General features: G+C 36.8%; 1 protein-coding gene across 2 annotated transcripts in view, besides 1 other annotated feature; it reads right to left on the bottom strand.

Moving 5' to 3' along the window:
* Nucleotides 1–20,147, bottom strand: part of IL1RAPL1 (interleukin 1 receptor accessory protein like 1) — a 1,369,273-nt gene that overhangs the window by 766,963 nt on the left and 582,163 nt on the right. The gene's annotated exons all lie outside the window — the stretch shown is intronic.
* Nucleotides 13,077–13,576: an enhancer, noted in NCBI's record as "H3K4me1 hESC enhancer chrX:29194297-29194796 (GRCh37/hg19 assembly coordinates)". NCBI's record gives its function as "activates a minimal SCP1, AML or CMV promoter by ChIP-STARR-seq in primed H9 embryonic stem cells {active_cell/tissue: H9 hESC(primed)}" and the evidence as "EXISTENCE:reporter gene assay evidence [ECO:0000049][PMID:30033119]".

The raw sequence follows: 20,147 nt of genomic DNA, 5'->3' as shown, positions 1-20,147 counted from the left end.
TTATCCCAGACAACTTTTGAATGATTCAAGTAATTTATGAACGTATATATAAAAATTGAGCTTTTAGTGCTAAGCTTTAGGAAAAAGTTGGGTAGGAAAATATATAATATTTTCCCTCTTCTTCTTGTTCTTTTCATATTTACCAGCAGTAATGAAATAATTCTAATTTCTCAAATGGGAGATAATGAAATTACTGAAAACAGGTGAACACTTACTTTATATGAATATATAATTCTTCTGAGAACTTATATAACAGGAAGAATTAGATATTAAGATAATTAGGGAACATAAGGGAACAAGAAAAACTAGGAAAAAGAGGGGGAAATGAAGATAACATTTAAAGAGTTCTAGACACTGATTTAGATATCTTTATAATTTATTCCATAATGCCCTCACAAGAGATTTGCAACATAAATATTATCACCAGCTTAGAGATAATGAAAATAGTATCAGAGAGGTTAAATATCTTGTCCAAAATCATATCATTAATACATTCAGAGCTTATAACACTTAAGTGTGATTGAGTCCAAAATCCATGCCCTTTAAATGGCAATACGTTGCAAAATGCACAGACACATCTTATATTCTGCTTTATTCTTATTCACACTGAAGACGTTCTGTAAAGAAGCTCATAAGAACGTTTACATATTTGGCAAATAAAAAACACGTACTATCTAAACTATACCAATTATTAAAGAACCACAGTGGAAAAACAAAAAACAAAAACAACACAATTCTCAATTGTTCCCTTCTTATGGCTCACAGTTGTATATTAAACTCATTACAGTAAAAACATTTTGCAAGCAATAAACACTCAATTTTTGTTTAAAAAGGGCTTTAGGAGACATGACCTGACATACTGATTAAAATAGTGGGCGGGCGTGGTGGCTCACACCTGTAATCCCAGCACATTGAGGCCGAAGCTGGTAGATCACGAGGTTAGGAGTTCGAGACCAGCCTGGCCAAGACAGTGAAACCCTATCTCTACTAAAAATAAAAAAATTAGCCAGGCATGGTGGCGGGCACCTGCAATCCTAGCTACTTGGGAGGCCGAGGCAGGAGAATCGCTTGAACCCAGGAGGCGGAGGTTGCAGTGAGCCCAGATTGTGCCACTGCACTCTAGTCTGGGCAACAGAGCAAGACTCCATCTCAAAAAAAAAAAAAAAAAAAGTGTATGTTTTAACCCAACTACAGTACTTAAGAGCTTTAAGCTCTTTCAATTTTGAAAAAATATTTAATTTTGCTGCATCCTTCTTTCTCATGCAATCCTATTTATTTCAGCCTTATTCTACCCTGGATTTGTTTCACTTCAATAAATTCGGCATTTACAGTTTGAGAAATTATAGATAATTAATTACTCTCTGTCCCTCCAGATCAACTTAAATTATTACAGAAAATGGGATTCAAAATTTTTAATGTGCACTAGGGGAAAAAATCACATTGGTGGTAATTATTGGTAATTAAATGCTTTTAAAATTAGGAAGATAAATATAGTCCTATCCTGCCAGTCAAATTTCTCAGAGTCACAAAGGAAGAGACATGCAGAGATTGCTTAAAGGGATGGAAGTTCATTGTAAAGACACAGAGGAGTAGTCTGTGGAAGGAGAATGATTTTAACCACATGGTTGAGGCTGTAAGTATTGCAGGCTCCTGGGGAAGCAAGCTATTCTAGTTTAGCCAGAAGCTGGGTGACCCACTGCTTACTTAGCTCTTACTTTTCATTTACAAAGAGAGGAATATGCATGGGAACTGCATGTAATTGGTTAGATTTGGCACTAATTGGTAGAGTAGAGCTCTAGAGGGCAGTTTAGACCAGCTTTTCAGAGTTAGCCAAGTTCCCTTGTGCCAAATAAGTATATGGTTTCCTTCCAGTTTCAGGCTGGTCAATGTCAGTTTGAATGTATTACAGCTAGAGTCTCTCCTATGGCAGCATGGTGGAATCTAAATAACAGTTAAAGCAGAAGAGTATGAGGATAGGGGAGTAAGGGGTGAAAACGGGATAGATTGGTTCCATGTGCCTAAGAATACATTTGTGTAAATGAAAGGTGTTAGGAGAAAATTCTTCTTGAATTGCTCACATTTTTTTAAGTCTTGCAAGTAGAGGTACTTTGGTGCAGATGATGTTTTAAAAGATGTTTGCATTGTGAACGGCCTTGGAAGATGAAGACAGTGTCTCCTTTCAGAGCAATGGGCATGCATGCTTACTGTCCAGTATAAAGATTTACCTTCCCTATACTCAGGGTTCCTATCCTATAATGCAACTCACAGTACAAACAGGCGTCATCTGACCTTTTTCATGCCACACCCTCAGAATTGGGGTTTGGGGAGTTTTTATTGCCATGAGTAATAAGGCCATTTGCCTCTGTCCCAATACTCTGTGTCTTTTGTGCCAGTATTCATGAACCTGTGGCAAGCTACCTTGTTAGCTTTCAAGTAGAGTCAAGTCTTACACATGTCATAATTCTTGGCAGAAGATTCTGAGGATTAGTAAATGTTTTCATAAAATATTCATTTGCTCCTCAATTTATAAGCCAAACATCATGCAAGACCCTTCTAGACCAAGTCTAGAACAGAGGAATGGCTAAATACTTTGTTGTTATACAGAACAAGTTTCTTTATTTTTATTTTGGATTTCCAACTTTTAAGTTCAGGGATACATATGCAGGATGTGCAGGTTTGTTACATAGGTAGATGGTGGTTTGCTGCACAGATCATCCCATCACCTAGGTATTAAGACCAACATCTATTAGCTATTCTTCCTGATGCTCTCCCTCCCCCCCAACTCCAACAGGCTCGAGTGTGTGGTGTTCCCCTCCATGTGTTCATGTGTTCTCATAATTCAGCTCCCACTTATAAGTGAGAATATGTGGTATTTACTTTTCTGCAGAAAAAATTTCAAATGCTGATTTTGTCACTTATTCATTAAACCTTGACTTCCTTACCTATGAAATGTACATACCTTTTTAAAAATTTCTCTTGCATTATAAATTATGTACACAAACACCACATAGAATATCTGTCATATACTAGTCAATAAGTAAATACCTATTATTATCATTATAATTATTAGTAATAACAGAAATATGTATTAAAGATATGACACTCCAGTCCTACCTTAGATCAGTTTAGAGATGAATTTTCTTTTTCCTGCAACCGTGGTAACTTAATGCCACAACTATGGGAACAAGATTACAAATATACTTGTCTTTCCTCCTCCTTTTTCTTATATTCTATCTTTCTTTCCTTTCTACTAGGCCATTGTTGCAAATAAAAGTCTTTTAAATCAAGGGTTTCTCAACCTAAACTGACTTTTTAATATTTTTACTATTGCAGAGTTCCTAGCCTTTTTCAAAACTGGACTAAAGGATTGTACTCAAGGTGTCAAACTCATTTCTGGCATCCTAATAGTTGATTATAGCAAAACGAATTGTATCAGCCAGAGCAACTGTCCAAGTTGGTCACAAAGAAGACTTATGAGGCCAATTACATCATTTTTCATACCAGAATTTTTGTTATTTGCTTTCAACTCTGCTGCATGTATCTAGCTGTTTAAAAAATTGGTATGATCATCATTCATTTTTATAGCAACACTATATTTTGTATGTGTCATAATTTTTATGAATAAAAAAACCTTCACACATCAACATGAAAACAAATATTAAAAGCTTATTACAGGCTGTTATGTAAACACCTATTAACAGTGAGTTTTATTTAGAGATAAAGGTAATAAAAATTCTCAAACTAATAGTAGGGTGACTGAAGTAAAACTAAAACTATTTGCTTTATTTAAGTATTTCCACTCTCCTCCTTCTTCTTAGTCATTTGCTGCCCCTTGCCTAGAATACCTCTTTATTTCCTTTGTCAAAATTAGACCCATTCTTAAATGCTTAAATGGAGCCTTTTTTTTTTGCTGCTGTGACACCATGATACCTGAGCCCAGCTAAAAATGTCATTTCTGCTTTCTTTATAAACCTATTACACATTTGACCTTCTCAAGCAATTAATCATATACTTCCTTATAATTAGTTGTAGATTTATCATATCTCTGTTACATTGTAAATCACCTTGACATCCAGGTTTGTAGTTTAATTATGTTTTATGACTTGGAGTATCATGGAGTCAACAGCACTCATAGAGTGCCTCCTAAATGAAGAGCATTATGTCATAAACAAATAAAGCACAGGTATCCACAACTAGTAATGATATTTATAGCTAATCTTGATCAAGCGTTTACTTTGAGCCAGGCATTGCGGTAAGTGCTTTACTGGCATTTTCATTTGATATTCACAACAACCTCCTGAAATTATCAACATTATTATTCTCATTTTAGAGTTAGAGAAGCAGAGGCCTAGCATGGGTAAGTAATTTCCCCAAAGTCATATAGCAATATAAAGTCAGGTTAGGAATACATGCCATTAAGATCCTCTGTGAAAAAACAAAACGTAAGAATATAGACATCATTGGAAATTTACCACCATGCTTATTTAAGAAGAAAGTGTTAAGGAATGTTTCCAGTCAATTGAATATTCTGTAATTACATGAATGATAAATGCAAACTTTTACTTAGTGATTCACTTGACAAAAAGCTTTCATTATTGCTTTGATACCTAAAAATATAATTTTTAAAATCACAAATTACTCACGATCATTTAGAAGGTGTTACTGAAAGTGATAAAGATGGCAGGTTTTTAACACTGTACAATTTACTCTGTGAATGCTTTATTAGACTTCTATGGAATAACAGAAATCATCATGGCTTTAGGAACAACACAGTACATCTCATATAGACTCACAAAATTGTCTTCTATGACAAGTCCAGTGTACTAATAGGAATTGATTTATTTAATTTGTTTTGACTTGAGAACATTATTTTACTTGTGCTTTCACAAAATGCTCATCAAGAAATCCGGGGAAAAAAGAATAGGAACACAGTCTCAATGAAGAATACATAATGTGGGTGGGTGCGGTGGCTCATGCTTGCAATCCTAGCACTTTGGGAAGCCGAGGCAGGCAGATGACTTGAGGTCAGGAGTTCGAGACCAGCCTGGCCAACATGGTGAAACCCCATCTCTACTAAAAATACAAAAAGTAGCCATGTGTGGTGGCATGAGCCTGTAGGCCCAGCTACTCAGGAGTCCGAGGCAGGAGAATCACTTGAATCCGGGAGGCAGAGGTTGCAGTGAGCCCAGATCAAGCCTCTGTGCTCCAGCCTGGGCGACAGAGATAGTCTCTGTCTCAAAAAAGAAAACAAACAAACATACAAAAATACATAATTTAAGTGGCTCAATGGCATTCTACAGGGGCATGTTAAGTGATGCGTTGAAGAAAACAAACCTTGGCTGGATAATAATTTAAATATCATTTCTTACAGCTGAAATCAATGTATAATTTTCATCAAATGTCATATGTCCTCAGGTGAGCACTGGTTAATTTAATTCACTCATCAAGCCTTTATTAGGCACCCTACTACTCTCTGAAATACTATATTCGTTGCTGGGAACACAGAGACTAATAAAACATCATTCCTGCCACCTAGGCACTCATGGGCTAGAAATGAGAAATGGAAACGCAAACAAGTCAGGATGACGGTGTATATTTTATAATAGAAATATGTGTATATTTTATAATAGAAGTATATACACGTTGAAATGGGTTCCTAAAGAAGAACATGGTCAGTTCTAACTAGAGGAATAACACAAAGCTTCTTTGAGCAAACGTCCTAAAAACAAGAAAAAGTTTTGTTTTGTTTTTAAAAAAAGGGGGGCTGGACACGGTGGCCCACTCCTGTAATCCCACCAATTTGGAAGGCCGAGAAGGGCAGATCATCTGAGGTCAGGAGTTCGAGACCGGCCTGACCAACATGGTGAAAACCCATTTCTACTAAAAATACAAAAATCAGCTGGGCCTGGTGGCACATGCCTGTAATCCCAGCTACTTGGGAGGCTGAGGCAGGAGAATCGCTTGAACCCGGGAGGCAGAAGTTGCAGTGAGCTGAGATCGTGCCATTGCACTCTGGCCTGGGCAACATGAGCAAAATTCTGTTTCAAAATAAGTAAATAAAATAAAATAAAATAGGGAATGGGAGTGAAGAGGAGAGAGGAGGGCATCTCATTCAGTAGGAAAAGTTTGAACAAAGAGCCAGAGGCAAGAAAATAATCTCATCTGTACTGGGGATGACAGTTTGTACCACAGGGTATAGAGATGAGTATGTGATGAGGGAGATGACTGAAAAGGCAATCAAGATGTAGATCATGGAGGGGTTTGTCAGTCAAAGTCACCTGCTTGCACTTTATTCCACAGAAACATAGGAGACCATAAGGATGCTTAGGCAGAGAAATAACAGGATTTAGGTTTGACAAAAAATGTTTGAACAATCAAATGGTGGGGGGCTGGATTGGAGGGATGCAAGTTTGAAGAATGGGAAAATTCTAGAAAGCTATATTGATTCAGATGGGAGATGATCAGAGCGAACTCAGTCAGCATCTGCAGGGATGGAGAAGAGGGAAAAAATCAGAGTAGTACATCTCCACAGGAAACAGTATAGAAATATTTGGTTTCTTTTTTTGACGTCACATTCATTGGAAGACAATACTGGCCTTAAGTACTTGGGACATGAATTAATCTCCTATTGCTGCTGTAAACAAGTAACCAAAACTTAGTGCCTTAAAACTACAAAAATTTATTATATTTCTGGAAGTGAGAAGTCTAAAATGGGTAAGCAGGAATGCTTTCCTTCTGGAGGCTCTAAGGAAGAATCCCTTCTGTTTGCCTTTTTCAGCTTCTAAAGGCTGCCTATATTCCTTGTCTCATGGTCCCGCATCACTTCAAATTCTGCTTCTATCTCATCCTCTCTGACTCTAACTCTCCTGCCTCCCTCTTATAAAGACCCTGTGAATACACTGAGTCCACCTGGATAATCTAGGGCAATCTCCCCATCTCAAGATCTTTATTTAATCATATCTGCAAAGTTCCTTTTGCCATGTATGCTAACATATTCACAGGTTCCAAAAATCAGGATATGAATGTCTTTGGGAAGGCCATTATTGTGCCTACCACAGGGCACATATGTTACAAGTTTTGTCATATGCTGGCCGTTACCAAATGACAAAACAATGTTTCACAATTTTTGTGACTTTGGGATGCCTCTTTAGACATTGACAAAGGTGAAAAAAAAAAAAAACTAAGTACATGAGCGTGTAATTTAACTCCACGTAATATAAACATGTAAAATCTTTTTTCAAAGTTTAATGTAATTGATTTCTCTAGCAATTCAACTATGTGCAATCCAAAGGAAGATTTTGGTTTGTTTTCTTTGCAATTTTACAAAGGCTTTTTTACCATTTTAGAAAATCAAATCACCTTAGCTCTGCCACTTCTGGAATGCAGTCATTAGTGCTACACACCTGTCTGCAAATCAACCAACACAAAACTTATTTTTTCCTTTGGATGCTACAGAATGGAAAAGCCCAGGAGTTAGTCTAGTAAAGCAGAGTGCCAGATTCAGTTTTTCTGTTTCCATAAGAATTGTGGGGTTTTATGAAGGCTTCATTACATAGGCATGATTGATTAAATCACTGGCTATCAGTGATCAAGTCAACCTTCAGCCCTTCTCCTCTACCAGAGGTCAGGGAAGGCATGGGGTGGGGGGGGGCAAGGCTAAAAGTTCCAACTCTCTAATAACATGGTTGGTTCCCCTGGCAACCGCCCTCCATCTTAAAGCTATCTAAGAGGCCAGAGCCATCAGTCATCTCATTATTACACACAAAGACACTATTTTGGAGATTCCATGGGCTTTAGCAGTTGTTTGCCAAGAAATGGAGAAAAAGACCAAATACATACTTACTATAAATGACAATATTTCAATGACTTAGAGATTATTTATTATTAGTGCTTATGAGTCTAGATGAATTGTAAAAATGAACGTAAATGGTCTTCAGTTGCATCTGCTTTATTATGATAATTTAAAAAGGAGCATTTCTTGAAAATCTGAAACATGGATAAAGTTGAATTAGCAGTTATATAAATATAATTGCCATCCTTTATTTTATGCAATTTTGAGAGCAATCACTCCACTAGAATATAAATACCACAGGGGCATAATTTTTGGTATGTTTGGTTCACTGCTGTATCTCTAAAAAAGAGTATGTGGTACATAGTAGGAATTCTAGAATTGTTCCTTGACTGAATTAGTCAGTGAATGCTTCTACCTAATTCTTTCTAAAGTTTGCCCCATCAGTGAACTTTAGCTGAAATGATCAAGGTATTCAAAGTACAAGGAAGAGGTCAGATGCTTAACATAATGTATTTCAAACAGTAATACCTAGACTATTAGCATGTAAAAAATTATAGGTTTAGATGCTGAATCATAATGTTCTTATGGTCAAAAGATTTATTCAGAGCTCCATGGAGACCTAACAGTGCTATTTTGCAAATAGGAGTAGTGAGAATATAGTATTAAATAGCTGAGAATACTAATAAGTAATTATTAATGAACACATGGTGTGCTAAAAACCTTCCAAGTACTATATTATATAATCCTCATCAGAAACCTAGGATGAGACTATTATTGTTTTCACTACAGATGAGAAAATTGAGACTAAAAGAGGCCAGGTAAACTCCTCCAGGTCACATGTTAGCAACTCAGTCAGATCACATGTTCCTTAAACTCTTTCTTTGGGAATTTTAAATAGTTCACACAGTGGAAAGACAATATAGAAGGTTTTATTTTAAAGTAATTATATTTATCAAAAGAAGGAAACACAAAAGCATGGATGCATTTTCCAAGAATCAATTCAACTCTCACCACCCCTCCGTTTCTTTGTTTCACAGAAACAATTTGATATATACACAGACATACTTGAGCATGTATTGCACACACATGTACATACAGATAAAGATACAGGAATCTAAAACGTCACTGTAATGTTTACATTCTTAGCAATGTAGCAAAGTATGAAAAAGGAATTATGTTTGGATTAGGTCATGAGGATCAACTGATAGAGCACAAGATTTGGAATTAAGGGAATAGCCTAATGGAGGTTCCACTATTTTTTCAAAAAACAAAAATAATTGAGTTTCTGGCCAGATGTGGTGGCTCACATCTGTAATCCCACCATTTCGGGAGGCCAAGGTGGGCAGATCACCTGAGGTCAGGAGTTTGAGACCAGCCTGGCCAACACGGTGAAACCCCGTCTCTACTAAAAATACAAAAATCAGCCAGGTGTGGTGGTGGGTGCCTGTAATCCCAGCTACTTGGGAGGTTGAGGCAGGAGAATTGCTTGAACCCGGGAGGTGGAGGTTGCAGTTAGCCAAGACAGCACCATTGCACTCCAGCCTGGGCAACGACAGCAAAACTCCATCTCAAAAAATAATAATAATAATAATAATGAGTTTCTTCTTGAAAATAGAGAAGTACTTGAGTCTTACTAATCTCAAAAGGATGAAAAAGGATTAAAAATATTTAATAATAAATATTCGTTATATCTGCAGGTTTTCAGAGGTGCTTTATATAAAACATTGTTCCTCAATTTTTTTTTTTGACAGTAGTTCTCATTGCACTGACAACCATCCTTATATGTGATGCTATCCAATGTAACATGGCTTATTCAATGAGATGATCAACAAAGGGCCTGAAATACAAGGATTAGTGAAATCTTGAGAGAGAGAGAGAGATTGATTTGTTGTTAATTTGATCAATAAGCCTAAAGTAGATTTTTTTTTCATTTCCTTCAAAGATTATGAAACCTTCTTCTGGGCCAGTAGTGCTCACGAGTAGATTACCCATTCCACTCATTCACAAACCCACACCTGGAAAACTTAGAAATGCAAATTTCTGTGCCCCACCCAACTTTCTGAATCGGATACTTTTGTCTTTTAGCAAGCCCTCCAGGTAATTCCAGTGCAAACTAAAATTTGAGAACCACTGTTCTAGTCAGCAGTGAGGTAGGAACTGTCCTTTCATGTACTCTTATAAGGACTCAATACTCAAAACCAATAAGAGAATATCACTTATGTTTTGGGGTTGTACAAAAAAATTAAAAGTCACAGCAGAGCCTATTCAAACTCAGCATGCGTTCAGTAATAATGTTGATTACCAAAGCTTTACTTAGAGTTCCTTTTCTGAGTCAGACTTTATAAGAACCATTGTGACTGCACCAGGCCCACCCAGATAATCCAGGATCATATCCCATCCCCTAACATTTAATTTAATCACATCTACAGTCTTTTCTTTTTTTGCCATACTAGGTAACATAGCTCCAGCTATAAACACATGAACATCTCTGGGGAGTCATTATTCTAACTACCACACTAGCTATCCTAGAATACACAAATATAAAACTTGAACTGGTTGAGAAGGATTTTTTATTGCCAAATCATGAGTGAACTCCCATTCACAATTGCTACAAAGAGAATAAAATACCTAGGAATCCAACTTACAAGGGATGTGAAGGACCTCTTCAAGGAGAACTACAAACCACTGCTCAATGAAATAAAAGGGGACACAAACAAATGGAAGAACATTCCATGCTCATGGGTAGGAAGAATCAATATCGTGAAAATGGCCATACTGCCCAAGGTAATTTATAGATTCAATGCCATTCCCATCAAGCTACCAATGACTTCCTTCACAGAATTGGAAAAAACTACTTTAAAGTTCATATGGAACCAAAAAAGAGCCAGCATTGCCAAGACAATCCTAAGCCAAAAGAACAAAGCTGGAGGCATCACACTACCTGACTTCAAACTATACTACAAGGCTACAGTAACCAAAACAGGATGGTACTGGTATCAAAACAGAGATATAGACCAATGGAACAGAACAGAGCCCTCAGAAATAATTCCACACATCTACAACCATCTGATCTTTGACAAACCTGACAAAAACAAGCAATGGGGAAAGGATTCCCTATTTAATAAATGGTGCTGGGAAAACTGGCTAGCCATATGTAGAAAGCTGAAACTGGATCCCTTCCTTACACCTTTTACAAAAATTAATTCAAGATGGATTAAAGACATAAATGTTAGACCTAAAACCATAAAAACCCTAGAAGAAAACCTAGGCAATACCATTCAGGACATAGGCATGGGCAAGGACTTCATGACTGAAACACCAAAAGCAATGGCAACAAAAGGCAAAATTGACAAATGGGATCTAATTAAACTAAAGAGCTTCTGCACAGCAAAACAAACTACCATCAGAGTGAACAGGCAACATACAGAATGGGAGAAAACTTTTGTAATCTACCTATCTGACAAAGGGCTAATATCTAGAATCTATAAAGAACTTGAACAAATTTTCAAGAAAAAAATCAAACAACCCCATCCAAAAGTGGGCGAAGGATATGAACAGACACTTCTCAAAAGAAGACATTTATGCAGCCAATAGACACATGACAAAATGCTCATCATCACTGGTCATCACAGAAATGCAAATCAAAACCACAATGAGATACCATTTCACACCAGTTAGAATGGTGATCATTCAAAAGTCAGAAAACAACAGATGCTGGAGAGGATGTGGAGAAAAAGGAATGCTTTTACACTGTTGGTGGGTGTGTAAATTAGTTCAACCATTGTGAAAGACAGTGTGGCGATTCCTCAGGGATCTAGAACTAGAAATACCATTTGACCCAGCCATCCCATTACTGAGTATATACCCAAAGGATTATAAATCATGCTACTATAAAGACACATGCACACGTACGTTTATTACAACACTATTCACAATAGCAAAGACTTGGAACCAACTCAAATGTCCATCAATGATAGACTGGATTAAGAAAATGTGGCACATATACACCATGGAATACTATGCAGCCATAAAAAAGGATGAATTCATGTCCTTTGCAGGGACATAGATGAAGCTGGAAACCATCATTCTGAGCAAACTATCACAAGGACAGAAAACCAAACACGACATATTCTCACTCATAAGTGGGAACTGAACAATGAGAACACTTGGATACAGGGAGGGGAACATCACACACCGGGCCTGTCATGGGGTCGGGGGCTGGGGGAGGGATAGCATTAGGAGAAATACCTAATGTAAGTGATGAGTTGATGGGTGCAGCAAACCAACATGGCACATGTATACCTATGTAACAAACCTGCACGTTGTGCACATGTACCCTAGAACTTAAAGTATAATAATAGAAAATTAATTTAAACAATACAGTACCTTAAACAATACTTTTATTGTAAATGTTGTATTTTATGCAAATGTACTTATATGTATACACAGTGATTCTTATAAGAAAACCAAGTATATTTCAAATGAAATTAACCACTCTGCCCTAGAAAAGAACAGAAGCATTTTGTGCCAATTTTTCATAAAATAAAATAGGTCTATTCAGCTGGAGACAGCAATCGAATTTTTGGGAGAAGTTCAGTGTAACTACAGTGAGAAAAAATAGTTCATTAAGAGTATAATTGTGAATGTAATGATCAGATGATTCAATACATCTTCAAAATGAGCCAATAAAACAAGTGATTAAAGCAAAACTGGTCTGTTCTTTCTCAGAGAAAAAGAAAGGCATCCCCCCTGCTCCATCATCAACAATGTATTATGGTATGTCCTCTAATGGGCAGAACTGCTTCTCCCTTATTTGTTTCTTCTCCACTGAAGCAGAATTCAGCTCAGTTGACTATACAGTCATCTCCCTTTATAGGAGAAGGGAGATGAACACTACTTGACAGATCCCCAGTTCCTCTGGGGCCAGCCTTCAATTGAGTTGTAAGGGAAATGAGAATGCTGAGAAGACTGATGAGTCAGGAAGTATCACGACCATTATAACCAAAATATCCAAATCCCCAGAACAAAACGTTGGGTAAATTTAGAGTCTTGAAATCAAATGCTTTCTGGTTTTTGTCAACCTCATTTGAATCACGGTCCAATCTCCCTCTGCTTGTCAATAACAAGAAATCTTCAGGAAAAGATTGGTAAATGGCATTGAGGATTTTAGTGGGGAAGGGGGCACAATACAGCAGAAAGGGGACACATTTTCAAACTAATACCCATTCATCATACAGAAAGTCTATTCACCACAAACAGAATTGTATCGTATTGTCTTTGTAAGTCCAGAAATGACCATCAGACGTAAGTATGGATCCCTTAAGTTGCTAGAGAGGAAAAAAATCGAATGAAACAAATGTTCCTCTTTCAACAATCCCCATAAAATTTCAAGATTTTTCCTTGTAAATTTTCTAAAGGTAACCATCCATAGTAAGTGCATTTATAAAACAGTTGAGGAATTCCTTTGAAGTTGCTTTTTTTGTTTGTTTCAAATTTGCTTATGAGAAACTCGGACAAGGGTTCTCAAAGTGTGGTTCCTAGACCAGCAGCATCAACATCACCTAGAAACCTGTCAAAAAAGCGAAGTACCCACTTTGGGAGGCCTACATGGGTGGATGGATCATGAGGTCAGGAGATTGAGACCATCCTGGCTAACACGGTGAAACCCCGTCTCTACTAAAAAAATACAAAAAAAAAAAAAAATTAGCCAGGCGTGGTGGTGGGCGCCTGTGGTCCCAGCTACTCAGGCGGCTGAGGCAGGAGAATGGCGTGAACCCGGGAGGTGGAGCTTGTAGTGAGCCGAGATCGCACCACTGCACTTCAGCCTGGGCGGCAGAGCAAGACTCCGTATCAAAAAGAAAAAAAAAAAAAAAAAAAAGCAAATTACCAAACTCTACCCCAGACCTACGGTATCAGAAACTCCAGGGCTGAGGCCTAACAAGTTGTGTATAACCAGCTCCCTAGCTAATTCTGATGCAGGCTAAAGTTTTAGCACTACTAAGCTAGAGTAAATAAAAGCATCATATTGGGCAGTATACTATTTCAAGAAAAATGTAAATTTTCCCATTTCTACATGGAATATACACTGGAATCTTTTTTTTTTTTTTTTTTTTTTTTTGAGACAGAGTCTCACTCTGTTGCCCAGGCTGGAGTGCAGTGGCATGATCTTGGCTCAATGCAACCTCTACCTCCTGGGTTCAAGCAATTCTCCTGCCTCAGCCTCACGAGTAGCTGGGATTACAGGTGAGTGCCACCACACTCGGCTAATTTTTTATATTTTTGGTAGAGAAGGGGTTTTGTCATGTTGGCCAGGCTGGTCTCAAATTCCTGACCTCATGATCCTCCCGCCTCGGCCTCCCAAAGTGCTGAGATTACAAGTGTGAGCCACCACACCCAGCTTGGAATCTTATTTTTAAAAGCTACTCCATGTCGTTTCTAAATCCTCGCAATTCTCATTTTTCTATTTCTTCTTCTGCATGGAAAACTCCAGAGGGCAGTATGTGGCATTTTCAAATACTGAATTGCATTTTACTTTTACTTATAGCTACTAAGCTTAAGAAATAATAAACTGATTAATCTCAGCCCATGTATAACTCACTTCATTGGCTTTCCAAGGCCCTTGAGCATATATTTTATGTGACAAGTGCTTTGCAATAAGGCAGTGGAAAAAAATAAACAAATCTCAATTCAAAACATAAATAAGTAGTGACTTGTCACTATAACAAAAGGATGACCATCATTTTTCTTTAAAGATTATGCTAGAGTATTTTAAACACATTATGACAACCAATATCCATTTTGAGCGTGAGGTTTTTACTTGGTATACAAAGTTAAGACTCCTGGATCCTTTCTTTTTTTCTATTTTTCTCTTTTTTTTTTTTTTTTTTTTTGAGACGGAGTCTCACACTGTTGCCCAGGCTGGAGTGCAGTGCCGCAATCTCAGCTCACTGCAAGCTCCGCCTCCCGGGTTCACGCCATTCCCCTGCCTCAGCCTCCCAAGTAGCTGGGACTACAGGTGCCCGCCACCACGCCCGGCTAATTTTTTGTATTTTTAGTAGAGACGGGGTTTCACTGTGTTAGCCAGTATGGTGTCGATCCCCTGACCTCGTGATCCACCCACCTTGGCCTCCCAAAGTTGCTGGGATTGCAGGCGTGAGCCAGCACGCCAGGTCTCCTGGATCTTTTTGTGCCTCCTTTTTCTTACTATAGAACTTTATCCACTGAAGTTAGTAAACAAACCCACCGCAATTTAAATAAATCAACCTTTATGCTTTTTAATGAGAGTTTTTTTTCTGTACTTTACTGGAATAGCAATTCCTATATCATTAAACCCCATTGGTTTTTACTATAAATCTACTTCTGAATTTTCTGTGTTTTATGCGATAACAAATATTACATAAAACTATTAACCACTGGTCATCTCTCCATGAAGTTTACATTTGATATGTACTATTACTTAGCTGTGTCTTCATAAGCAAGACAATGTAACCTAAACATCACATGCATTTTGCAATAACACCTTAATATATTTCATTTTTCTATTTGATATATTTTCCTTTATGGCTCCGAGTCACGGCACAAGTGATGGGTTACCATCAGCCAAGCCAGAACAATTTAGTAAATCTTTGTCTGAAATTATGTCTCTTGAAAATCAGCAATTTTTCTGCACATTCATCTTCCTACTTCCATGCAAATCATCTCATATCAATACACTGTCAACTACTTTAAACTTGTTGACTGTGGCGGGCGTGGTGGCTCACACCTGTAATCCCAGCACTTTGGGAGGCTGAGGCAGGCTGATCACCTGAGGTTGGGAGTTCGAGACCAGCCTGACCAACATGGAGAAACCCCGTCTCTACCAGAAATACAAAATTCGCAGGGCATGGTGGCTGGCTCATGCCTGTAATCCCAGCTACTCGGGAGGCTGAGGCAGGAGAATCCCTTGAACCCAGGAGGTGGAGGGTGTAGTGAGCCGAGATCGTTCCATTGCACTCTAGCCTGGGCAACAAGAGTGAAACTCCGTCTCAAAAAAAAAAAAGCATCTTGTTGATTGTTCATTTTTATAAATCCATATGCTTATGTTGACCTTTTAATACATATATGGAAGCATTATGCGGCTTATATTGAAGATTTTTGAGTCATCTTTTGGCAAAGTTTCACACATATCATCCAGACAGTTTCATATTCTTTTATGCTTTATTTTTGCTTTTCCCTATCTGCGTCTTCTACATTTTACCTTTTAGGTTTCCTCTTACTCTATGGAAGTAGCATATGCCATGCTAATTCTGAATTTGCGGGATATCTCTTCACAACCAATTTCCTCTTATAACTTGTAAATGATCATTGAAGTAGCCTCAGCTTCCAGGTTGCTTGAGCTAACTTACAATAATAGAGTGGCCCTGTAATCACCATTAGCAATGATAAGGAAAGTACTTACAGAACAGTCAAAATGAGACTTTACTTAGAGTAGCTGCTGGACCACAAAGGTATGAATTTTCTGTTCCTTTCATAATGCAGAACACTAGTAAACCATAGAGTAGCTATCTATTCATTGTCATTAACAATATAAACAATTATCTGATATTATTTTTAGTTTATTAAATCAGTGATACTAGAAATTGCACCAAAAAGTATTTCCCATATGTGGAGATTCCTAAAACAGCTTTCTTGATAATACTTTATTTAAGTGTTTATTTTTTTATTAGCTGTTTTTCAATCCAAAAATAATACTGATTTTGTACAAGGCATCTGAATAAAATCATCCGCCTACCTACAATCCATTAGCACTGTTTTGTAAGTATGTTCCTTGGACCTCCTAAATCACAATCTCTCAGGAAGTGACTCAGGCATACGTATTCAAAATAATTACGCAGGGGATTATCAAGTACACTGGGATCTGAGAACCACCACTTTACTGGAATAAAAACAACCATAATTTGGTTGCCTTGGGTGGGTTTAGCAGCAAGTCCAAGACCTCTCTGTTCTGTAAGAGACATGACATCCATGAAAAGACAACAGTCTCCCTGCTCAGCTTGTGGTCAGATAAATGATCCCATGCCAAATTCACCAGTTTTTCTTTCAGTGCCTCCTCTTCCCATCCTGATTCTCCAATGTTTAATGAATTGCTGAAGAAAGTTATCCAATGAGACTCTCATGACTCGAATGATTCTTATTATGATTCCCCAAAGTCTTCCGGCTTGTCAATGTTTAATCACACAAGACTCATTAAACTTCATTAGACCTATCTGATGAGGGCTCTCTCCTCAAAACTTTTGCTTCCCTGCTGCAAACACTAATGTATGGTATTAAATGCCAGATATGGACTTGATAGATTTTCAGAATGCATTAGAATCACCTGGAGGGCATGTTAATTGTATTGTATTAGCAATTTTTGTTAAGTAAGTAGATTTTTGTGGTTCTTGTCACATATAAACAAGCTACACCAAGACAATAGCTTTCCTAATTTGCTTCACTAGAGTAACTGTCTATATGTAACCCAAAACATTACGTTGTAAGCCTCAAATATATACAATAAAATTGATTTAAAAAAATAGGTTGCTGGGCTCCAACTCCTGAGTTTCTGATTCACTATGTCTTGAACAGGGACCAGAAATTTGCATCTCTAGGTTCCTGGGTGATGCTACTAGTGTTCAAGGAACCACACGTTGAGAACCAATGCCATAAGCAATGAACTGAAAACCACATATGTATTCTAGGATCATACAATTGCTTTCACGAACAAATTCAATTACTGAGATTTAGCTATACCTATAGAGTATTAAAAAACCTTTAAATTAGAAAAACTTCAGTTCACAGCTAACTTAACCTTTTGAAAAGAAAAATGTAGTAATTTTCTTGATGCTGAAAGAAACTGCATGTGTGCTACTAAGCAGAATTTGGTCAAGCCAGTTTAATGGTTCAAAATACCTTGGGTTATTAAAGACATCTTGAGGTTATTATTGGCAAAATGGGTCATTATTTTCAATTTGGTAAGAAGCTTAGAACAAATTGAAAACCACTATTTGAACACAAATTCATTCTCTCAGTTAAGAAGCCCTATTTTACCCATTAAAAAACCACAATAAACATTCAAATGCATGGAGTGTTATGCTGAAAGCAAAATGTCCCTTTTTTTTTTCTTTCCCTCCATTTGCTATTTGTACTGACATTTAGAAACATAGACATGATATTTAGTTTTGCTCTCAGATAATTATTTTTCTATGTCTACAGCCTTAATTTTGCATGCCTAATAAATTACTGATTGAACACTGTATCTCCCAAATGTTAACTAACTTTACTTCTATTTATATATTTCATAATTCTTGATAATTCTATAGCTATAATCTTTATCTTCAGCCTGTTTTGAGAAATATCTTTTGCCTTATAAAGTGTTACTTTTTTACATTTAATCATACTCACATAGAGACAATAGAATTAATATCAACTAAGCGTTTTATATTAGTTAGATGCTGTGGTACATGACTCATGTTTGAATTTATTCAATAATGACAACACCATCCTCACCACTTCCTGGGAAAGTAGGAAATCTAACACCGATTTTATGGGTGAAAAAAATTGAGGACCAGAGTAGTTCAGGTCATTCACACAGACCTGCATTTTAATTCTGGTGTCTGTGCCCTTTCAATTTTACCCTATGACTTAAAAACAATTGGTATGACCGGGCACAGTGGCTCACGCCTGTAATCCCAGCACTTTGGGAGGCTGAATCACCTGAGGTCAGGAGTTCAAGGCCAGCCTGACCAATATGGTGAAACCCTGTCTCTACTAAAGATACAAAAATTAGCCGGGCATGGTGGTGGGCATCTGTAATCCCAGCTACTCGGGAGGCTGAGGCAGGAGAATTGCTTGAACCTGGGAGGTGGAGGTTGCAGTGAGCCGAGATCGTGCCACTGTACTCCAGCTTGGGCGACAGAGTGAGACTCCATCTCAAAAACAAAACAAAACAAAATCCCACAACACTGGGTGCAACATTCAGTAACAGAAAGTAAACCACCATCCATATAAAATTCAAATCATGGTCATAGTTCATTAAATATAATTATTCACTCTTAATAATCACCACATTGTTATGTTCTTAAAACATCTAATACAATAATGGAGGGAGGCACAGAATACTTTTAACAGCATTTTGCTGAAGTTATCGGAGTTCAAGTAAAAATAAAATATATATTTCTAACACCAAAAGTTATTATATGGTCATATTAACTTCAAAGAAATTTTATCGAGGGGTTGGAATGTTATGCATTTTTCTTCATAATTTATGGTGACTTTTCAATTTGGTTTCTCAAATTGCAATAAATAATATACTAATCACTTCTACATATACGTTGAATATTCACTAAACATATTTCCCATTTTTCTAGTAAAGGAGACATCCAACCTATTCATAAAACAAAACTGACAAGGTTTGTATTATCTGAAATCATAGTTATATTGAATTTCTAAACTAAGAAAGAGAAACAGAAAAACAGGTTGCAAGTCATCTCAAATACTCGCCTTCATCTTCATATATAGTTTTTGTCAAATTTTCATAGTAATCCCTAAAGACATGTTCATTCTCTGTCTTTTTGATGAATAATAAGATTCATAGGTTATATCTACTATTTTTCCTTCAGATAAAGAAAGTCATGTGAAGAATGAATAAAGAAAAATCCAAGAAGTATTGGCTGTTTTCAGATGGGCACAGATTTATAAAGAAAGTGATTTCTACATGAATTGAAAGGGGAATTCTCTAGCAACTTGACTAGGTAAAGGAAAAAGATCATTGTTGATATAAAAGGGAACAATATAGATAATGTAAAAGGTTTTAGTTTCATCTAAGAATTGGCATTATCAAATAACTTGTTGACTTATTTGTAATCTGTGTAGACATCTATTCTATCACTAATGCTGGGGTACAAATTTAGTACATTCCTTATAGAATTTTTACTTTTTTGTAAGGTATTTGCTTCAGGTTCCATGGGAAATGTGGATTGAAATGCAATCAGGTACATAAAAATTATTCTCAAGAGTAATTTCTATTGTGTATTTTATAATTAAATATTATTATAGGGACAAAGTTTCAAAGTAACATTTGATTTTTCCATGAACCACATATAGATATTAAATCTAATTATTTTATTACATATTTTCTTATCCTTTATTGCTTAATTTAAATATGTAAAATTCCATTAGTGAAACTTTGGGACCACTGATAACATTTTCAGGTTAATGATCCAGTTTATTTATTTAGTTTCCAAATAACAAAGAGATTTGGTAGTTATTTTCATTAAAAGTTAAGGGGAGGCAACGATGAATACTCTTTAAGAAATCATGGTAAGAATCATTAAATTAG

This window comes from Homo sapiens, chromosome X (genome assembly GCF_000001405.40).
Source record: "Homo sapiens chromosome X, GRCh38.p14 Primary Assembly".
In the NCBI taxonomy this organism is placed as follows: domain Eukaryota; kingdom Metazoa; phylum Chordata; class Mammalia; order Primates; family Hominidae; genus Homo; species Homo sapiens.
The sequence above is the reverse complement of the archived record's forward strand: the minus strand, read 5'-3'. Positions and strand labels throughout refer to the sequence as shown.